Source organism: Homo sapiens, chromosome 3 (assembly GCF_000001405.40).
Source record: "Homo sapiens chromosome 3, GRCh38.p14 Primary Assembly".
NCBI lineage: Eukaryota > Metazoa > Chordata > Mammalia > Primates > Hominidae > Homo > Homo sapiens.
The window spans coordinates 38,607,633-38,629,273 of NC_000003.12; the positions used below are offsets into that span (position 1 = coordinate 38,607,633).

Consider the following 21,641-nt stretch of genomic DNA (forward strand, 5'->3'; position numbering starts at 1 on the left):
GTGACCCCCTTCTCCAACACTCCATGGCACTGTCACAGTGATCCAGGCCCTGGTGTGCACAGGGCCCTGGAAGCTGCACATGGCTACTGGGCATCTCAAGGAAAGTCCAGGCTGCTGGAGAAACCACATTTGCTCCAAGGGACAGATCAGCAGCAACGGAGGGAAGACTGGAGCTGGAGGGAGCAGTTCTGGGGAGCTTCTGGAAGGGAATGGAGCTGGGGGTGGGCTGGTTGGGGGGCTGTAGAAGGCATCCCAGGCTATCCCTCAGTCCCAGCCCACCTTCAGGGCTCCGTTAGCTCTCCCTGCAGCTCTGTCCCTGACCTTTCTCCAGAAGCTGTCTCCTCTGTGCTGGGGGCAAGGTGGGGAAGCTGGGGAAGGGTCCTGGCAGGTAAGGGAGACAAAAGAAGGCCTCGCTGTCCCTGGGGTCAGGGCATAAATAGAAAATACAGTCAGTTGAGAAAACACCAGGAGACTCCCCTGGCAGGACAAGGAGACCCGGGGTGGTAGGTGCCACATACCCAGCGTCAGAGCTGTTCCCACACAGTAACACATCAGAGGTGCCGTTCTTGAGCAGGTAATTTTCTGTAAGAGAAACATCATGCTGGTGAGGGGCACTCTGGCCCAAAAGTTTCCGCCTTGCATCCAGGGCTCTGGGGAGGTGGAGACCTCACTAGCGGTCTTCCTTCTTCTCTGCCCCTTCCCTGCCCCTGCCCCTGCCCTCTGCCTGGCCAGGCTTCAGGCAACTCTGGCTGTGCCTCTGGCCTTCCTTCTGTTCCTCTGAAGACATCCTGCTGCCAGTGTCCCCATGCTCTCAGAAGACACGGGAAGCCCTGGGCAGGGCCTCAGCTCTCCCCACAGGAAGCTTCTGCACCCTACCCGAAACCACTCAGGGGGCCCACCAAGGCCAGGAGGCAAGGGTCTGGGCAGTTACGGCTTGGCTGCCGAGTCACTGTGGGGCCTTGGCCGGCTACTGCCCAGCTCTGTACTCACTTCCATCACATAAAATGCTGGAAGTGATGCCTGCAATAGTCACCATGCTAACGCTGTGGTCTGTCCGGATGGGGCTACACCAGACAGGACTGCCCGTCTTGTCCTCTCCTTTCTGTGGCAAGTCATCAGTCCCCAACACTCACCATTACCTGGCTTTGTCTTAGGCGACAGTTGTCAAAGCATGGTCCTCGAACCAGCATCATCAGCATCAAGTGGAAACTGCTTAGAAATGCAACTTCCTGACTGCCACCCAGACCTACTGACTCGGAAACTCTAGGGGTGGGGCCCAGAAGTCTGTTTTCCAGAGCCTTCTAGGTGACTTGGGTGTACATGGAAGTTTTAGAACTGCTGTTATGAGGCCACTGCTGAACTACTCATTGAGTGTCTATGTTTTGTTTTCCAAAGTGGACTGCTGGTGTATGTAAGAGGCCCTAACTTCAGAATGGCCCTCAGGGTCATTCTGGCCCAGGGTCCTGTGGCCTGGAATCTGGCCTTGCAGCAGCATGTACCTCCGAAACAGACCAATGGCTCTAGTCAAGAGTGGTGCTGGCCATCAGCCTGGAGAATGGAAGTGTGAGCCACGGGGCAGTGAAACAACAGAGGGGCTCACACAACTTGGCACAATCATTGGGCTTGTTCCAACCCTCTTGCAGGGTTCTGGGGTACACGTATATGGAACGAGCATCCTGGCAAGGAACACTGACGGCAACTGGGAAATCTCCATGCCAGCTAGGTGGGGCTTCACTCTGAAGCCTCATCAACTACGCTGGCTCCATGTCCACCCCTTTCCTAAGCTGACACTCTGTGGGCAGGCTGGTCACCTTGCCATTGCAACACTCTAGGGTCAGTCCCATCTCCAAATGCCGCAGCCAACTGGCCCTCTATCTAACTCCATACTTTCCACTCCTCAAGCATTGCCTCTCCGTCTAGCCTGGGAAGTCACAAGGCAGGCCCTAAGTCTGCTACCCGTCTGTCCTCTGTCTGGGTCTCTGGGGGATCAGGCAGGGCTTGAACAGCCCTGGAGGCCTGCCCTCTGGTGACGCGTGTGTGGGAGGTGACCCCGGTCTGCTGGTCTCACAAAGTCTTCCCCAGCTGCAGAGCAAGTTCGCACCTGGATCACTGAGGTAAAGGTCCAGGGATTCCCAGACCAAGCCGTCGGCCTCCACGGAGCCGTTGGTGCCGTTGAGCGCTGTGAAGTTGCGCACGCACTTGTGCCTTAGGTTGCCCATGAAGAGCTGCAGGCCGATGAGGGCAAAGACGCTGAGGCAGAAGACTGTGAGGACCATCACATCAGCCAGCTTCTTCACAGACTGGATCAGGGCCCCCACGATGGTCTTCAGCCCTGGGGAAGGCAAGAACAAGCACGGGGTCACCCAGGGGCACCGAGCTCTGTGCTCCACTGGTGGGGGGCTGGGCCTGAGTTGAGCTGGGGTGGGGCCAGTGTAGGCAACCAGAGGTGGGGACAGAATAAGGGAGGCTTCTCCTGGGCTTTGAGACCCAAGCCCCACTTTCCTCACAGCTGAGATTCTGTCCTGATTTCCCTGGGCAGGAGTCTAGGCTGGCTTTGTAGTTTCAGAGGGAGCCTGCTCCTCTTTGCTCTCCACCAGCCAAATATATGGCATGGGTGTGGAAAGTGCTGCTTTCTTGAGACAACACATACTCAGAGCATGACCCCCTTTGGCTAGTCTGAAGGTGTGCTAGGCCTACCCCTTTTAATGTAGTCCATGGAAAAGGAGATGGAGGCAATTGAGGGGCCTCAGCCTTGATCTTGAGATGGGGAGAAATAGAGCCATTCCTGCTGGAGGTCCTCCTGCCCCACTGCTGGGGCTGGCTCTATTTGATGTACAGGGAGTGTGGATTGTTTGGAGGAAACTAGGGGCCCAGGGTCTGGTCGGGTAGGGGCTGAGGGCTGTGGTCAGGTGTGTGCTGGGGGCTGTGGGTGACGGTCTGGCGGGGTCATGGCGGGTGATGTCTAAGGGGCCTGCGCTGGCTCAGGCCCACCTTTAGGGAAGGTTCAGGAACAGGACTGACCTGCATTGCATCTTCTCACTTGCCCTGTCCCTCTAGAACCTCCCCACACCCCCATCCATCCCATTTCCCATAGCTGAGAGGCTGTGTTCTGTTAGTTGCACAGCCTAGCTCCCTGCAGAAGCCAGCACCACATAGCAGAATGACAGAAAAGCATGTGTAGACACCAGTCTGGCCCTTAGCGACTGTCCTAGGACAAGTGCAAGCAGAGCATGGGGAATGAGGAGGCTCCTCTGCCAGCGGCAGGGCCCTGCCCCTCATGTCCCTGTCCCAAGCGGCCAGATCTCAGATTAAGCTCCATCCATCCACTGTCCAGCCGGTTAATGTGTTAGGAGCGCCTGTGGCTTCTGTGCCTGCTGCTGCTGGGCCTGTGACCCACAGGCAGGGAGGCCATGATGAGCAAACACAAGATGGGGAGAGGATGACCTCCCCATGGTGCCACTGACATTGCTGCCCACCCAGGGCTCAGAGGCACTCAGCCTTCCTTGTGGAAATCGTTCCTGGCAGATGTTGGCAACTGCCTGGGCAGTGGGTGGACCTCACAGGTCTGGGTCCAGAGTAGTGGCGGTGGTGAGATTCACAAGCTCTTCATGGTCCAGAGCTCCTCATCTGTAACAGAGCTTCCTGTACCCTTTGGTGGGTTTACTGGGCTGGAGACCTGCATGTCTCGAAGGGAACAAAGTGAAGACTGATGGACAGCAGCTCCAATACCCAAACTGGTCTCTGCCTCAATTGTTAGGCTAAAGTCTCTTTGGCCTGAAGTATCCCATTCAAGGCCAGCAAAGCACCCCCTGACCTGGTCTGTGGACATAGTGGCCAAGGGTAACTCACCCCTTTGAACATTTCTCATACTGATGATAGATTTCACTTCTGGCAAGAATGGTTGCAACGAAACTGCAGGATTCTTTCTGAAAAGACCCAGGAAGGGATTGGCCCCAGGAGATCAACTGGGAAATCCTCCTGCCACTGAATTAACAGGCTGGGTGGAAGAGCCCTTGGAAATCACCAATTCTGATTTCACTCTCATTTTATGGAAAAGCGACTGAGTCTAGAGAGGACTAGGGCTATTTCAGACTCAGCTCAGAGGACACCTCCTCCCGAGGGCCTTCCATAATGCCGACCATGGCATTTTTCTATTGGCCACTTTCAGAGCCTGCTGGCTCACTAGGTTGCTGGCAGCTGCGAAGAGGTCCCATGGAGCTAGGCTGAGATTGGTGGGCTTCCTCCTTTTCCCCAGGACCGAGAAATATTTCCCTTTGTAAATCTTTCTTATAAAACACACCAGGAATATGCCTTAAGTCCTGTGGTTAGTGTGTTTGTCTACTTCGGTGGGGTGTGTGCCTGTGAGGCTCTCCCCAGGGCCCTAGAGGACAGACCATGTGGTTTCTGAGTCTATGTGTGCCAGGGCCCATGATGTCTGTCTCAATGCAGGTGGCTCCATGGGACTGAGCGGGAGCAGACTGCCTCCTTGCTACTGGCCCTTGGCAGGGGTCTGGGCCACTTGTGGGAGCTCTGGGGGAGATGCGGCCCTTATGAACATACTATAGTGGGTTTAGAGGCCAGAAAGCTCAATGTGAACATAGCATAACTGGGGGCTGCTCTGGCAAGATAACTAGCCCTACCAGGGGGAGTCCAGATTCCTTATTGGAGCTTAGAGCAGGGCTTCTGACTCCTTGGGGGCGACAATAGCTCAATGCAGGCCTGGGAGCCACCAGGTTCCACATCAGGTGCGGATGTAGCCATCTGGTTCAACCGATGCTTCCGTCAGCTCTCACACCTCCCTAGAATGATGGCATGCAACCTATCTCCAGCTGCCTTATTTATTTATTTATTTATTTATTTTGAGACAGAGTCTCACTCGGTTGCCCACGCTGGAGTGCAGCGTGATCTCGGCTCACTGCAACCTCCACCTCCCGGGCTAAAGCAATTCTCCTGCCTCAGTCTCCCAAGTAGCTGGGATTACATGCGTGCACCACCACGCCCAACTAATTTTTATATTTTTAGTAGAGATGGGGTTTCACCATGTTGGCCAGGCTAGTCTTGAACTCCTTACCTCAAGTGATCCACCCGTCTCGGCCTCCCAAAGTGCTGGGATTACAGATGTGAGCCACTGTGCCCTGCTGGGCTGTCTTTTTAAAAGAGGTGCCTTACCCAGTTCTAAGTGTGGCTGCTTTCGGAAAAGACTTCTGGAAGGAACCTCTGGGCACTGCCCCTCCAGAGCAAGTTCCTCCAAACAGGAGGAGCTTTGAGTCTGGGGAGAGGGAATACAAACTTAGGATAGGAATGTCTCCTGGGTGGAACTCAGCTTCAGCACCGGCCCATCGCACAACCAGGCTCAGAAATCACAAGTCTTTTCAGAGTTTTCCTAGATGGATGGATGGAATGGTTTCTAGAGATGTTATCTGGGCCTAGATTTCCCAGATGCAATTGCCAACATCTGTCAAGGAGAATTTCTTCCTGAGGCTACCATGCATGGTTTGCTAAACCTCTACCGCACCATGCAGCGAGGGCTGTTAGACACCAAGGCCCGATGATGCCTGTCCACAGATTATGCTTTGTTTCACAAAATGGGGCTGGGGCTCTGGCCCTACTTCTATCACCAGATGGGGCACAAGGCGGGCCGAGGCACTCAATCATGAAGGACCGTGCTGGAGTTTTCCTCTTTCACTCCGGGTGTGTGTGGGGGTTCCCACAAACACACTTCTTTTGGTTTCCTCATCAGAATCTGACATTTCAGGCTGAAGCAATTCATGTAAAACTTTTAGCTATTCAAATAGCTGAGTGTGGTTTGGAAAAGCAGTCCACTATCTTGGAAAAAATTTAGGTTCAGTGTAGGCCCCACCGTGGGGTGCTCTGTGCCCCCTGGTGTCTATGAGAGTGGGCTTTGCTGGGGTGGGCAGCCTGAAGCCCATTCTGAGGCTCCAGGGGGACAAGCATGTCCACTGCCAATAGCCCCTGGCACCTGAGCCCTGGGAAAGGTATTCTGGTGACAGGCACATTCGAAGGGCCTTCTGGAGGGTTGCCTTGGCTCCCAGGTGGCTGGAAAGGCCCAGGCATATCCCTCTAGCCTTGGTGTTTAACCTGATTTTCACCTGAAATGACTGATATAGTTTTCAGGGCCCGGAGGACTCGGAAGGTGCGTAAGGCTGAGACATTGCCCAGGTCCACAAATTCAGTTGTGTATCTGTAACAAGGGAAATTCACACACGAGACAATGACAACACACCAATAGGAGACACACAGTCAGAGGAGGAAAGGGGGTGGGGAAGACAGAGAGAGAGTCACTTGTAGCTGAGATCTGAGAGGCAAACCTGGGCATCTTACCTGGGATAACTGAAATAGTTTTTAGAGCTCTCAGGACTCTGAAAGTTCGAAGAGCCGACAAATTGCCTAGTTTTATATTTTCTGATACATACCTGCAGAATCAAACCACAGTTATTGGGAATTACAAAGCAGAACCACCGCCTGCCCTCCCCGACCAGCCCTCTCCCTTGGCCCCCTCCCACGGGGGTGGGGGCAGTGCTGTGGATAGCCCAGGGCCTCCCTCAGGTTTTCTTCTGGATTTCAACCCTCCTAACATAGGACTTCGGCTTGAGTGCCGTAAGGATGTCCACACAGCAAGCTTCCCGGTGGCTCTCTTGGTGATGGTGCTAAGGATAACTGGTGCTAGAAGGCAACCACTCTGCCACTCTCGCCACACCACTGGGACCCATGACATGAAACCACATGTGGAGTCTGGGGCTGGGGACACATCAGAGTGAAGAGAGAAGCCTGTTTTCCAGGAGGCTCAGGTCAGGTGATACAGGAAGCAAGTGCATTTCTGGTCCTAGTTTTGGTTCACATCTTCTGTGATCTGTTGATCAGCTTGTGCCTGGCTCAGAAGTCCTTGAAATCATGAGGTGGAGGTGGCCTGAATACTCATTGGAAAAAACAGAGTTCCCAAGACAGAGGCACTGGAAGATGGGAAGAGAGGTTGCCTGAATATCTGTTCTTCCAACTACTCACAGGCAAGGAACAACCCAAGAAGAGAAAAGGGCAGGATGAGGGGCTCCAAGGCAGTGGAGCGCCTTCCCAAGTCCACCGGTCCCACCCCCAGACCCTTGGTATCTTCCAGGGATGGCCCTGGGTCTCCACCGGAGGAGTGGCCTCCAGAAGCAAGATGCCCTTCCTGGGGTCTGTCCTGCTTGGGTCCGAGTGAGGATCAGCAGGGCAAGTGGCTGTGGGCCCCCTCCTGGAACTTGGGCAGTTGCCCATCTGTGGCCTCCACAGGGACAGGAGTAAGAAGGTGGTCTCTGGGGGGCAGGGACCAAGCAGAGCATGAGGACATGCAGTATATGGGCCACATGACCACGAGGACCACAGACAGTGTGTGACCAAGGCCATCAGGACAGTGGCAAGTGACTTGTGACATTTAATCAAAGGCTTTGCATCCAGGGTGTGTGACATTTAACCGAAGGTGTCTGGTATTTAACAAAGGACATTGGACTTGGGATGTCTGATGTTTAACCAAGTGGGTCTGACGTAGGTGTCTGAGTGATGTCAGACAGAGGACGTCAGCCCTGTGGCTCTGGGTGAGTGCAAGGGTGGGCTGGCACTGTTGCCAGACTCACTCTGCTGGGCGGTCTGGACCTCCAGGCCCTTCCAGTCTGCTCCCAGCTTCCCAATTCCCCTTCAGGCTTTGAATATCTACAGGAAAGAACTTGGCCAGCTGAGTCAAGGGGCTTAATGCCCTGGGGTCCACAGGTCTGGCTCTAATTGACACTGGGCTGACACCAGCTTTCTCTATGTCCACTGGAGGAGCCCCTCCATCTTCACATGGCCCTATGCACCATGCTGATCTCTCCTTACTCGCAAAGCCCTACACAGATGGGACGTCAGCAGACACACTGCCAGAGCTTGCTTTCCTCTGATGACACCAGACCCTTTCTGTGGTGTGGCTTCCATTTCGTCTCCTGTATTCACTTCAGCATGTACATCTTTCTCCAGCGTGGCAGTCAGATGCAGTCCCATCATCTGCTGGGGAGCAGAGGTCACTGTGCTTGTTCTGGCTCATATACACCTGTTAATTTGATCCAAGTTCCCTCTCAACTTCTGAGAGCTATTCCATTCTCCACGACGGCTCAGACTCTCAGGGCTCTGTCCAACATTCTTCTCTCGGTCTCTCTCCAGACATGGTGCTGCCACAGGACTTTCTGGCTGAGCCTGGGATATTGCTGACCTTGCCATCCCATGGAAACATGGCTTTGGCCTGCTGGAGGCTCTGGGCCCCTTTTCTGGCTGCTGTTCTACCGGGTGTGGCTAAGGACAGCAGCTCCCCTTGCCTAGGATACTGGTTTCGCGGCTGTCTCTTCTAGTTACAGGGAGTGAGTGGAATACTGTGCAGGTTAGAGAGGGAACCAACCGTCCTTGCTTCAACAGTCCTTGCTTCCCTCCTGTCCCTTACAGACCCAGTCTGTCCCCTGGTGTCTCCATTGAAAACTCTGCCTATCTCTAGCTTATATTCTGCCTGTCTTTGCTTGTCCCAGGGTGGAACCTGCCCCCAGCACAGTGTCCCCAGCACAGACAGTGCTTGGCCTCCATTCATTGTCTGCCTTCTAGGCAGCTGGTGTCCCAAGGTGACAAGGACAGCTTAGTGACAGAATAAGGGAGGACCATATCTGTGCTCCTGGCAGGCTTGCAAAGCCAGCTGAGTGGCTGGAAATAGGAGTGCAGCTGGTGGCCGTGTGTCTGTCTGGGAGAGCAATCATGAGTTAGAGGAAGTCTTAAAAGAGGACTTACAGGGTAAGGGTGTGGAATGTCTGGGGCCATGTTGGTGACTTGGTGTGCTACTGCCTCTTTTATTCTACCCAGATCCCCACTGAGGCCTCTTTTGGGTCCTCTGAGTGTGGCAGGGCTGGAGGAATGCTTGGTATGACACAGGGCCAGTTGCAGAGGTGGCAAGTGTGGGGTCACGTGAGGGGTCAGAGCTTTGCCCCTCTCAGGCTGGCAAAACCCTCCTCCAGGCCAGTCTGCTCCTTCAGTGATGGCTAAGCTGCTGGCCAGAGGCAGACAGCTGGACAGCAGACAGGGGCAGAAAGAGCAAAGGGTGGTGGGTGAGAATCCTATCCCATCACCAGCCCCACTGCAGGGAAGCCTTCTTCCTGCCCCTCCCTTATCTTGAGATGGTGAAGCCCACGCCGTTAGTGACTGCAGGAATTGCCACCCTCCTCTCTGCCCTTCCTCCCTTCCCCTCCAGGTTTGGTTTCCATAACAACCCCAGAAGGTGGGAGGCTATGCTAACTAGCAGGTAATGCCCTTCTGTGAGTGGGGCCACAGGAAGAGCTCTGGCTGAGCCTGGCAGGCTTCCCAGCACCCTGCCCCAGACCCTCCCACAGCCTCTAAATCAGTGGGGTGGAGGATCACCCCAGCAGAAACATCAGACTCGGGGTGCCTCTCCCATCCATCCCATGGTTAGGAGTTGGGAGACTTGGTTTTAGTCTCAGCATTGCTTCTGATTCAGTCTATAACTTTGGGCAAGTGCTAGGTTCTCTGTGAGACTCACTTTCTCCATCTGTGTAATGGAGGTCAGATGGAGGATTCCACTGAATGGAATGTTTCCCTTCACTCAAATCTCCTTTGATCATCCTAGAGTCCCTTGTTACTGAACCATTGCATCTCTAAGAGAATGCATTTCAAAGCCAGAATCCCTGTCAATCAAAGCTGCCAGGCCAGGCCAGCCAAGGGCCCACAGCTGATGTGCCAATGGGTCACACAGCCCTACGGGAAGTGGATGTGCCATTTCTGTGAGATGCTTGGAAACGTGGAGAGTGTCTGAGCTTCTGAGGCCGAGTTCTGCCTTGTCAGCCTCGGCCCTGGCACACAGCAAAGGCAAGCAGGTTTCGGTGAGGAAGGCACACCTGCTTTGTGACTCCCAGTGAAAGAAGCGGTTTGGGAATGAAACCAGGATTCTCCCAGGAGACAGGGCAGGAGGACTTGTTAAGGGTCTGAGGTCGCTCAGAGCATCTCCCAGAGACACAGCCTGAGCCAAAGCTTGGCCCAGGGCAATGACTTTTCCTGGGATCTGGGGCTGCCTCTGTGGTGATACTGTCTTGCCCAGGCTCCAGGTTGGGGAGCTAGGAAAGGCTCAGGCAGACGGTGTATCCTCTCCTGCCCGAAGCCACCTTCCTTCCTGTGACACCCAGCCTCAGGACACTGCTGTGGATTACTGCTTCCCACCCACAGGGCACCCCACGGCCCAGCCTGGCAACCCTACTCCATTCCCAAGTCAGTGCAACCTCCTCGGCTCTGACATGAAAAGTTCTCCCTCTCTCTGAAACCTCAGATGTGCCTCCCCACTCTGTTCTCAGCTGATGATCAAGCTTCTTATTTCACTGAGAAAATAGAAGCAATCAGAAGAGAAATTCCTTTCATTTCATTATCAACTCTTATCAATCTACCTCCATCTCCACCTGAAATTCAGCCTTCCCCACTCTTCAGGTCGATGCTCCCCCTTGGCACTGCATTCCCACCCTCTTGGGCCAGCTCACGGGCTTTGCTCCTGCAATCCCCTTGCTCATCTACATCATCTAGCATTCTCTCTCTACTGGATCATTTTCACCAGCCTGCAAAGACACCCCCCTTCTTTAAAAGCCCTCCCTTGATTGACCCACATTCCGCACTGACCACTACACCATTTTCAGTCCCATTTTATAGCAAGCCCCGCAAAATAGATGTCTGTACTTGCCACACCTCCTCTCTTCCCACTCTCTCTTGAACCCTCCTTAACCAAGTGCATGTCCTTTTCCTCCACTGGAACCTCTCTTGTCAAGGGCACCAGTGACCTTCCCCCTCTGTCAAATCCAATAGTCCATTCTTAGTCGTCACCTTCCCCAACCTCCCGGTGGCGGGTTTCCAGCGGAATCACATTCCTTCCCAGACACTGCTCTCTCCTGATTTGCCTCTGCCCTCCAGCCTTCTCTCTTGGCCTCCAGATGAGATGTTGGGGCATCCCACAGTACATTCAGGCTACAGGCTACACTCATGCCTAGGTGATCTCATCTGGTCTCCTGGCTTTAAATACCATCTGTATCCCCATAGCTTCTAAATTTATACTTCCACCTTGGAGCTCTTTCTTGAACCCTAGACTGGAATATCCAGTTGCCTACTCAATATCTCACCCTGGGTGCTTTCAAATGTCATACATCCCAAACTGGACTTTTGATTTTCTTCCTACTTCAGCCAGTGTCGCTCTCTCCAATTTTCCATTTCAACCAATGGGAACACCGTCCACCTAGCAGCTGCTCAAACCAAAAACCACCTTGGGGGGCCTCCTGTCAGCCCTACCTGCAAAGTATGTCCAGAATCTGACCAGGTGCTCCCCTTCTCCACTTGGTCCTTGGTTCCAGTCACTATCTTCTGTCTCCTGGCTTCCAAGATATAGCCTCCTAACTACTCCGTCTGTCTCTACCTTCTCCAGTCTGTGGTCCACACCATAGCCAGGGGAGTCTCTACAGAATGTAAAGCGGGTCACAGCTCTGCCTGTTCTTACACCCCGGTGACTCCCATCACACCTGGCTTTTACCACGATCTGTCTTCCATCCCACTACTCTGCAACTTCATCTCCCACCACTCTTTCCTTGCTCGCTTAACTCCACCCAGGCCTAAATCCATACTGGGTTTGGGGCAAGTAAGTGGTATTGTCTCTCAGAGCCAGTTTTCCCACTTGTAAAATGGAGGGCTAGAGTTGGCTTACAAATAGTGTACCTAGAGACAGAGATTCTGATGCATTTTCCCACTACCAGGTTCTCCGTCTATACCCCATTCACCAGGGTATAGTTTCCCTCTTTGTCCTCTCTCCCTGACAGCATGGCTGAGCTCAGGGCTGCTCATGTCTGGGGTTAAAGCCTGCCTTCAATAGGTAGATTCAGGGATTCCAAGCATCCTAGAAAGTGAGAGCTGAATTGAGCTTCTGATACCACAGCACACAACACTATCCTTTCACATGTCGGGAAACTGAGGGTTTGCAAGGACAGGGGGTATGAGCCTCACCAGCTCTGCTCCTTGCTGAGATGCAGTGCTCAGCCCTGCACACACTAGGTCCTCTGCTTCAGAAAGGCCTTTTTCTTTTTTCTTTTTTTTGAGGCAGTCTTGCTCTGTTGCCCAGGCTGGAGTGCAGTGATGTGATCACAGCTCACTGCAGCCTTGACTTCATGGGTTCAAGTGATCCTCCCAAGTAGCTGAGACTGCAGGTGTGTGCCACCACACCCAGCTAATTCTTGTGTTTTTCATAAACATGGGGTCTTGCTATGTTGCCCAGGCTAGTCTTGAACTCTTGAGCTCAAGCAATCTGCTCACCTTGGCCTCCCAAAGTGTTGGAATTACAGGTGTGAGCCACCGCACTCAGCCTTCAAAATGCCTTTGATGGTTGAGCCTCTGATCACGACTTCTGCAGATGTCCCATCAGAACCCAGCATCTGTTCACTGATACTTCCAGGGTGGAGTGCAGCCTCAACACTGACCCCTCAGCAAGGGTTTCTCCTGTAGGCAAAGAGGCAGGGCCTCAGCCTGGGCTGCAGCAGGCCTGGGGTCACGTTCACTTTCTGGCAGGCTCCCTGTGTGTCCTTGGCATCAGTTTTCTCACCCATAAAATGGGCTAAGCCATCCCCAGGTAGCCTACTTCTCTGGCTGGTGTGAGGATCCACTGTATTGTGTCAGTGGTCGGGTGCTTTAAAATGTGCCAAACATTGAGTCTCTGGATGGAGCAAGCTGATGTGCTGGTGCGACTGGTGTGAGTTCCTGGGGATGCTTAGTCACTTCTCCAGGCTCCTTCTCTTGGCTGCAATTTCATTCTTAATCATCTTGGAATCCAGGTCACCATTCGCAGTGGGCCAGGGGTTGAAATATTGGTTTCTCTTGGTGGAAAGGGCAGAGGATACTAAACCAGAATCTTAACGATGTCCCTGGAGACCAGGGCTGCCGTGGAGCCCCAGGTGAGCCAGTAGGCCTGACCACCAAGGCCTGCCTGAGCTGTCTCTCCCCACCAGGATGAGCTCAGGGCCTCCACCCTACCTTCCTCCAGCCTGTGTGCAGAGCTGCATGTGGACTGCAGGGAGGAAGCCAGAAAGAGAGGGGTGGTCTGGGGCCTGGGGTGGTGCACACCCCACCCCAGTGTGGCCTGCAAGGCATAGCACAGCATAGCAAATGAGATACTTACGCCATGATAATCACACTAAAGTCCAGCCAGTTCCATGGGTCCCGAAGGAAAGTGAACGCGTGCAGGCAGAAGCCTCGAGCCAGAATCTTGACCAGAGACTCAAAGGTGTAAATGGCGGTGAAGGTGTACCTGGGCAGGAGAGGCCGGTGGGGTTTCTTAGGGAGGCCTGAGCAGGCCAGGTTCTCCAGGTTCCTTACGTGGTGTGAGCCCCACAAAGCTCCCTTCAACAGAGGCCATCAAACGGGGCTCTCTGCAATGCCCCCATGGCAGAGCTGGAGTTGGGGATGGAACTTTGCTCTAAACATCTGGCTAACGAATCCATCGTCCAATTTGTTTATTCCATATTATCGTGTAACTGCCATGTGTCCATCTGAACTCTCTGTATTCTCTCTCGGTTGTCTTGGTGGAAGAAGACCTCCTCCCAATCTCCTCACCCCAGCCCTGGGGGGCTGTGCATGCAACAGGCATACAGTGGCCACAGGGTCTGTGCTATAGGACAGTGTACATGGACCCTCACCCCTGTTTGTGGGTCCTCAGCAGCTAGCAATGGGCCCAGTCAATCCTCAACTGCTTACAGGGTGGGTGGGTCCAGCTGTCCACCTTGGGCTTGAAGGGGTGTTGATATTATAATGCATGGGGCTGATGGGAGTCGGGGTGCTGTTCTCTCTGCCTAGGGCAGCCTGAGGAATCCAAAATGCCTGGATGCTGGGACTGAGGCCCCCAGTGCTGGAGCGGGAGAGGACCGCATCCCAGGATTCAGAGCAGCTGCACGTACCAGCTGAGAGCACTGCTAGGTTCTGTGTGAACATGGAGAACAACTAGGCAGACTGCTTTGGGAAGAGAGCTGCCCCAACATTCTGTTGGTCTCCTGAAAACTGCAGCCAAATGCAGTAAGGGCTTATCAAGTCTGCTTAGAACCTCCAGGTAAGGTACTTTTGTTTGGGAAGAAAAGAACCAGAAGCAGTTTCTGGAACTGTGCAAATGGTTATAGGAGGCAGGACTTGGGAAAAAAAAGGCAGCAGAGTGTGTTACTGAAGTGGGGATAGCCCTGGGGTACCTCCTAGCTGCCTACCTCCTAGCTGCCTACCTCCTAGCTGCATGGCATCAGGCCAGCTATTTCTCTAATTCTTAGTCTCATCTGTGCAATGGGGAAGGTGGCTGCACCCACCCTACTGGGTGGCCATGAGGGTTAAAGGAGATGATGCTTATTGTTCTTATGACAGTGCCTGGCGTGTACAAAATGCTCAATAAATTATTATTATTTCAGAACTTTCTCCAATGTCATCATTCCTCTTTAGGCAGGACAGGGAGAAACTTTCTACTTTGCCACTCTGGAGAGCTTCCTCCCTAGAAGGCACAACTCAAATTAATGCCAGAAGTTGGCAGGACTGGGAAAGGCAAAAGAGGGTAGAAGCTGAGCCAAGGGCTGCCCCACCGCCATGGGTAAGTTCCTGGGCCTGGACACAAGCCCCCTTCCAGGGCAGCTTCAGGAGCCATGGCATGGAATGGAAAGGAAGGGAGGGGGCCACGTGGAGAAGAGGCCCTGAAGATACTCACTCGACATACTTGGTCCAGGGTGGAGGGTCGTGCTGGGCCATGAACACGCAGTTGGTGAGGATGGTGCACATGATGAGCATGTTGAAGAGCGTGCGTGGGGTCAAGGAAAGCTGAGCAGCATGGGCCGGCCACGCCACCACCGCTGGGGGGGTCCTGCCCCTGGGGGTCATCACTGCCAGGCCAGTGCTACCAGACAATAAACAGGGTCTCCAAGGAGACACACTGGGGCTGTGACCAGTCCATGCCAATCCCCCTCCACCCAGGCTGGTCTCTTTCCCTTCCCCGGCACTTGCAGCTGGCCCCCTGGCCTGCTCCATGACACCTAATAGGCACCAGAGACTTGAAACCACACTGCTGGTAGGGTCTCGTGTGGAGGGAAGGCAGGAGAGGTGGGCCCCAGACCTCAAAGCCTTTTAACCGCAGTCAGGCGAGGGGCCCTGTCCTCAGTCACATAGGAGAGAAATGGGCATTTATAAATTGCTCCTCAGGGGGAGGGCAAGGCCAGAGTGGCAGGGCTCTGAGTTCCCTCCTCCACTTCTAGGGGAGCAGCCCAGGCCAGGCGTTGTCTAGAAGTTCTCTGCAGAATGCCCTGCTGCCAAACAACTGCACACCTGGCCAGGGCCTGCTACCCCTGGGGAGGCAGGGGACCACTCCTCTGGCTGCTTCCTGCCTGTGCACCTAGTCTTCAAGCTAGCCCTCTGCTCCACCTGGGAATCTCCTTCTCACCCTGCAGGAGCCCGTCAGTAGGACCCCACCCAACTCCCTAGCAGCCTGTCCTGCCTTTCTGGTAACACGGTGCTGCCTCTGTGCCCTGCGGGCTTCGGGCACCCCTCTTTTAGCCCTGGTGGCTCACTGAACGGCAATGTCCATCTGTCTCCCATCACAAGGCAGCGCTTCAAGTACCAGAGCTGTGCTTCAGGTCTACTTGTGGGCTCTTGGCCTTGAACTGAACTGCCCAGGACTTCTCTGAGCCTGACTCTGGCTACAATTCCTAGCTGCTGCTTCAGGCTAGACAAAGCTCCAATCGCCCTCCTCCACCTCTGCAAGGCCTGCAGAGGAACAAGGGGGCAGACTCTGGGCCTCCTGTAGGCTGGGGCACCCCTGGAGGCCTGGCCTAGAGCAGGGACACTGTGCTTCTCTCACAAATCCCTACCCAGCCCCAGAGGAGTGGCTAGGCCTTCCACTCCCTGTGGCTGCCCCCAAGCGCTCAACACCATGCCCGGCCTCAGCCCCGTATGCACAGCTGCCAAACTGGTGATTCCCACAGGCCGCCCAGGAGCTGCGGTAATTGAGCTCCAGGGGCTGCCTCTTGCCTCCCTAGCATAGCTCCACCTCACCTGATGGGAAGGCCAGTGCAGTCCGAGCACAGACCAGGCCTGGCTGCGGTGCCGACTGCCCCTGCTGGGGACAGTGGGGATGCCTCTCGGGAATCTAACCAGGTAGATGCCCTCCGTGCTGCTCCTCTTCTAGGGAGTCAGGCAATCAGGAAATCAGCATCTCAAACCAGCCTCCAGTTTATAATTATTTAGTTTCTCATCTGGGACGAGAGGAAATTAGGCTTTGGGACTCTCCCTTAGTCAAACAAGGACTGAGCCAACAGGACTGCTCGGCTCTGATGCCATGGCTCCAGGAAGCCTTGATTTCTCCGTGACCAGAAGGCATCACTTCAGGCCCTGGGGTCCCTCCGTCAGTTTGGTATCTGCCCAGCCCTCTGCCCGTGTGAGGGTGTCCAGGGCCAGGCTTATATCCCTCTCCAGCTTTCAAGGCAGGATCAGATAATCATCTCAGTATCAGTACCCCTTCTCCCTTACACACACACACACACACACACACACATACACACACACACTGCCCACATGCGGGGTATGTGCCAAGGCTTTCCTCACTAGGCAGATGGTTAACAAGCCCCCCAACCAGTCTTTATTCATCCCCACGGATCTGCTGCTAAGCATCTACTGGGGAGCCCAGGTGACTCCTAAAATATGCAAGCAATGATGCTAAGAGTGAATATTCATTGAGCCCTTCCTAGGTACCAGAATTTGCTCTCCGTGTCCATCAGCGAATTCAGTTTTCCCAACAACCATATGTGATGGGGACTTTGTTTCCATTTTAGGTGATGAGAAGACTGAGGCACAAAGAGGTTAAGTTGAAGGTCACTGTGGTAGGCAGAATAATGCCCCCACCACCCCCAAGGTGGCCATGGAGGAATCCCCGGAAACTGTGAATATGCTAATTTGTATGACAAAATGAGACCGTGCAGATGTGATTAAATTAAGGATCTCCCCTGGCCTCCGCGAGACAGGGTCTAGCTCTGTCACTGGGGCTGGAGTGCAATGGTATTACCACAGCTTACCGCAGTCTTGAAATCTTGGGCTCAAGAGATCCTCCTGCCTCAGCCTCCTGAGTAACTAGGACTACAGGTGCACACTACCATAGCCAGCTAATTTTTAATTTTTTTTTGTAGACACAACGTCTTACCATGTTGCTTAGCTGGTCTTGAACTCCTGGGCTCAAGCAATCCTCCCACCTCAGCCACCAAAAGTGCTGAGATTACAAGTATCAGCCACTGCTCCTGGCCCTAAATTAAGGATCTTGAGGTGGGGAGATCATTCTAGATTATCCAGGTAGACTCAGTATAATCACAGGGGTCCTTTTAAGCAAAAGAGAGGCAGAGTGTTGTGACATGAAATTCAACCGGTCATTCCTGGCTTGATGATGACAGGGAACCACAGACTAAGAATCCAGTGCAGCCTCCAGAAGCTGGAAATGCCTCGGAAACACATTCTCCCCTAGAGCCTCCAAAAGGTGTGTAGCCCTGCTGACACCCTGAGTTTAGTCCAGCAAGAACCATTTTGGACCTCTGACCTCCAAAGCTGTAAGGTGATAAATCTGCTTTGCTTTAAGCCACTGCATTGGTGGTAATTTGTTACAGCATTCCTGGGAAAGTACTCCTGGTACCAAGCTGATCAATGGCTGAGCCAGCATGCACCCTGGTTCTCCTGATCTGGGCCCCACTCTGAGGCCCCATGCTGCACCACCTCTGCAAGATGACATTCAAGGCCACCCGGTCCACTCTCCTGCCTCCAGACTGGAGGGTCTGCATGAGTCATGCTGCTTCTGGCTCTCACATGCCAAGCAGGTAAGCTATTCCACGCCTGGCCTCTGCCACCCATGGGGCGGTGTGAAAACCAAACGAGGTAGAGAGCACCGTCGAATGTGGGGAGACTACCGTACAGGAGGGAGGGAATTATTTGTTATTTGTAAGAGGAAATCCCACTTGAGCATGTGTGTCTGGCCCTGAGTGGGAGCCAGGGGGGCAATGGAGCCATGTCCCCAAAACGCTCTGACATGGGATATTATGAAAAAACCAAACATGCCTCTGGCTGGGCTGGGCAGGAAGGCTTCCTGGAAGAGGCATTTAGATAAGCACCAAGGCTGGCCAGGGTTGCTCCAGCAACCAGTCAGCCCAGCTGGTCATGGTGAAGCAGCATGTGCTGAAGGCTGGGTGGTGGACTCCTCTCGGTGGAGCCAAGTCCCTTCCAGCTCTAGGGGGACCACTCACAGCTCTCCTTAGAGTGGGGGAACAGGCCCCATTGCAGGGAGCAGTGGTGTGAACAGGCTGCCTTGTACTACAGGCCTTGGCTGGACCCAGGCAGAGGTGAGTGAGACTTGAACACCCAGACTCAGGGAAGAGCCAGGGCACACAGCCCTCTGGATCCCACCAGTCAGGACCTGGGTCCCATGGTGGGCAATGACAGGAGCTGTCTATCTGGGTTTTACCTTTTCCAGACACAGCAATGGCTTAGGGTGACGTGTAGCAAGCTCTTGTCTCTCTGCCACTTCACTGCTCAAAATCCTTGCCTGGTTCCCATGGCCTTGAGGACAGCACTTGCACAATTGTCAATCCTTCTTCTGCACGTATGAGATCTCTTCCTTCCTAGACTGAGCACCCAGTCCATATGACTCTGCCTAAAGCATACCCAGGTCCCCCATGGCGCCCAGCACGTAGCCAATACCATAGAGACGAGTCAACTGAACTCCTGGCCAGGGCACACCTGTTTGCACTGCCTTGTAATTTCAGGCTGATGATTGAGCTGGTCCCTTGTGTGGGCTGAGGCAAAGGCCAGCTCTCCAGGTCTATGCTCAGCTGAACATCTTCAATCTTGTCATGTCATTGTCCCTAAACACCCACTCCTAGCCTCATGATAAAAATGCCAGCAAGGAGTGCCTGAGTTGTGGGGAATGCCTGACACTTGGGCTGCCTAAGTCTTCAGATCCCAGGGAGTTTAAAAAAAAAAACCACCCAAAGAAAAGGTAATTAACTCTGGAGGGGTATTTTCATGTGTTTGTGCTATTAAATCAACAGGCACACACACATACACCACAGACATGTGGTTTGATTGCCCATTTGAATCTGGTAGAGGAACGTGGGAGGATTTTGTGCACAGATCCTATACAACCAAGAAGGCAAAATACTTCTCAGTGTGTGTGTGAGGCCTCTCTGAATGTGACTGCGGTAGGATATGGAGTTCAGTTGGTTTCTTTTATTTAATCCCAGCAGGAACACATTCTGCAGGATTATAACAAAAATACATATAAAAAAATCATTCCACATGCCCATATTTACTTTTTGGTAACTTCCCAGAGATACACTGCAAGCATGGAGCCAAGAACAAGGCCAAGCGGAATCACTGCGCACTTGCTACGGTCTGTGAGCTCCTGGATTGTCACGACTGAGCAGGTTTTCTCACCAGGCTGCATTCCTGCCCACTTTTAAGTTTGTCTTTGCCCCACTTACCATTCCCAAAGGGCGTTGCACAGAACTTTGCACATGTGGAACTTAGATGTTTGAATGAGCATAAAAATTTAAGCACAGCAAAAGTTCACCATTCAAAACATGAGACCTGATGTTCTTTAGAAATGCATAGTGACTGATAATGGGCACAGGATTTCTTTTGGGGTGGTGCAAATGTTCTGGAAATAGATAGTGGTGATGGTTGCATAACCTTATGAATATACTAAAAACCACTGAACTGTGCACTTAAAAATGGTAAATTTTGGCTGGGTGCGGTGGCTCCTGCCTGTAATCCCAGCACTTTGGGAGGCCGAGGCGGGTGGATCACGAGGTCAGGAGTTCAAGACCAGCATGGCCAAGATGGTGAAACCCCACCTTTACTAAAAATACAAAAATTAGCCCGGCGTGGTGGCGGACGCCTGTAATCCCAGCTACTCAGGAGGCTGAGGCAGAGAATCGCTTGAACCCAGGAGGCGGAGGTTGCAGTGAGCCGAGATTGCGCCACTGCACTCCAGCCTGGGCGGCAGAGTGAGACTCCATCTCAAAAAAAAAAAAAGAAAAAGAAAAAGATAAATTTTATGGTATATGAAGTAGTATACCTCAAGTTAAAAAAAAATCATGGAGCACTTACAGATTTCTAGGCCTCACACTGGTGATTCTGGTCTGGAAAGAGCTAAGAATTTTGCATTTTTACAAACTTCCCAGGTGAGACTGAGATGGCCCTCAGATTAGCATTTGGAAGCAACTGCCCTAGGGTGGCATGCACATGGGACCTTGCTACACATAGGTTCTGGGGTGAGGCCCAAGATTCGGCCACTCCTACAACATCCTGGTGAAGCTGATGCTACTGGTCCACACACCACACTCAATGTCAAGGCTCAACAGTGTTGCTGAGGGGCTGCTCCCAAACCCCACAAATCTAGGCCTCTTCTTCCCCCCAGTGCCCACTGAGCCCACTAAGTGGCGCTGTCGAGGTCCAGCAATGTGCTCCCATCCCCAGGCAGCAGCAGTGTCAAGGCAGCCACTGGGAACCCAGTACAGGTCCTCACTGATGCTTGACAATTCCCTGGGGCAGCTGTCCTGGGGGATAGAGGCTGGCTCCGAGCCCTCAGGGCCAGTTTTTCCAGGTGGAAGCAGCACCTCACAGCCTCAGAGCCATTGCTCAATGGACAGTCTGGCCAGGCTGGGCACTCGAGGGCCCCCCACTGCCTCCCTTGCCCACCTGCCTCCCTGACCTTTCATTTGCCCCACGACCCAGCTCAGCACCTTGCAGGAGCTCTGGAGCTTCTGCTACATCCCTGAGGGCTTCTGTGGCTGCCAAACAGTGCTGGGTTGGTTAGATACCTGGAGGAGAAGCCCCAGGTGAGAGCTGGAGGATGCTGTTAGAGAGGCCACACCCCCGGAGTGAGGCCAGAGACGGGCTCAGAGCAAGAAAAGCTGGCCTTTCCTCCTCCTGCTGCTCTGTTCTTCTTACCAGGCTGTGACCACACTCTGGCAGAAAGCATAACTATTTGCGAAGCTGCCTTATCACTTTTAGGGGAACTATAAAATTCCCAAGGGGCCCAGACGGGGTCTTATTCGGCTCGATACCCCAGCGTGCCTAGCAAAGAGCCTGACACCTACAGGGAACTCAGGATGGCTCAAGATGAAATCTAGACCCACACTTGCCCCACAAAATAAGATGCAGCTGTGAATGGCAGGCTGCTCGCTACATATGGTCCCTCTCCACAGTGTCTGCCTCCCACTTTGCTCACGCCACAGCCATGGTTTGCATGTGGGGTTGTCTCATGAACCCCACCAGAAAGGCAGGGGTAGGCTGGAGAGCAGACACGTGGTTGGACGCATGCATTTTACTGCACATGTGCATGCAGACACCACTTGCCATGCATGCCCCTCCAATGAACCCCTGGGGTCAGGATCAGGCACTGGGCACAGGTGGGAAGAAAGTGGAGCCATAGGAGGAGCATCCCCCATCCCTGCCCGGGCAGGAAAAGCTCCTGACCTGCCAGCCTCAGTCCTGGTTATTTAGTCCCTCACTAGGTATCTGTAATCCTGATGCCTCCTGCCTTGGCCAGAGGT

General features: G+C 53.6%; 1 protein-coding gene across 10 annotated transcripts in view, besides 3 other annotated features; it reads right to left on the bottom strand.

Moving 5' to 3' along the window:
• The window catches only part of SCN5A (sodium voltage-gated channel alpha subunit 5), a 101,626-nt gene that overhangs the window by 59,571 nt on the left and 20,414 nt on the right, over positions 1 to 21,641 (bottom strand). For 7 of the 10 annotated variants that reach the window (NM_001160161.2, NM_001354701.2, NM_001160160.2 and 4 more), the window contains exons 4-8: positions 14,768 to 14,857; positions 13,211 to 13,339; positions 6,343 to 6,434; positions 2,102 to 2,332; positions 519 to 582 (exon numbers count right to left, since the gene is read on the bottom strand). In NM_001160161.2, the coding sequence (NP_001153633.1) occupies positions 519 to 582; positions 2,102 to 2,332; positions 6,343 to 6,434; positions 13,211 to 13,339; positions 14,768 to 14,857 (606 nt within the window). Of the gene's footprint in view, positions 1 to 518; positions 583 to 2,101; positions 2,333 to 6,110; positions 6,203 to 6,342; positions 6,972 to 13,210; positions 13,340 to 14,767; positions 14,858 to 21,641 lie in introns of all 10 variants that reach the window. The other 3 variants (NM_000335.5, NM_198056.3, NR_176299.1) reach the window with 2 other exon arrangements.
• Positions 7,328 to 7,828: an enhancer, noted in NCBI's record as "H3K27ac hESC enhancer chr3:38656451-38656951 (GRCh37/hg19 assembly coordinates)". NCBI's record gives its function as "activates a minimal SCP1, AML or CMV promoter by ChIP-STARR-seq in primed H9 embryonic stem cells {active_cell/tissue: H9 hESC(primed)}" and the evidence as "EXISTENCE:reporter gene assay evidence [ECO:0000049][PMID:30033119]".
• Positions 17,771 to 17,952: a silencer, noted in NCBI's record as "fragment chr3:38666894-38667075 (GRCh37/hg19 assembly coordinates)". NCBI's record gives its function as "represses an EF-1alpha promoter that drives an FKBP-Casp9 reporter gene in an ReSE screen in HepG2 liver carcinoma cells {active_cell/tissue: HepG2}" and the evidence as "EXISTENCE:reporter gene assay evidence [ECO:0000049][PMID:32094911]".
• Positions 20,668 to 21,167: an enhancer, noted in NCBI's record as "H3K4me1 hESC enhancer chr3:38669791-38670290 (GRCh37/hg19 assembly coordinates)". NCBI's record gives its function as "activates a minimal SCP1, AML or CMV promoter by ChIP-STARR-seq in primed H9 embryonic stem cells {active_cell/tissue: H9 hESC(primed)}" and the evidence as "EXISTENCE:reporter gene assay evidence [ECO:0000049][PMID:30033119]".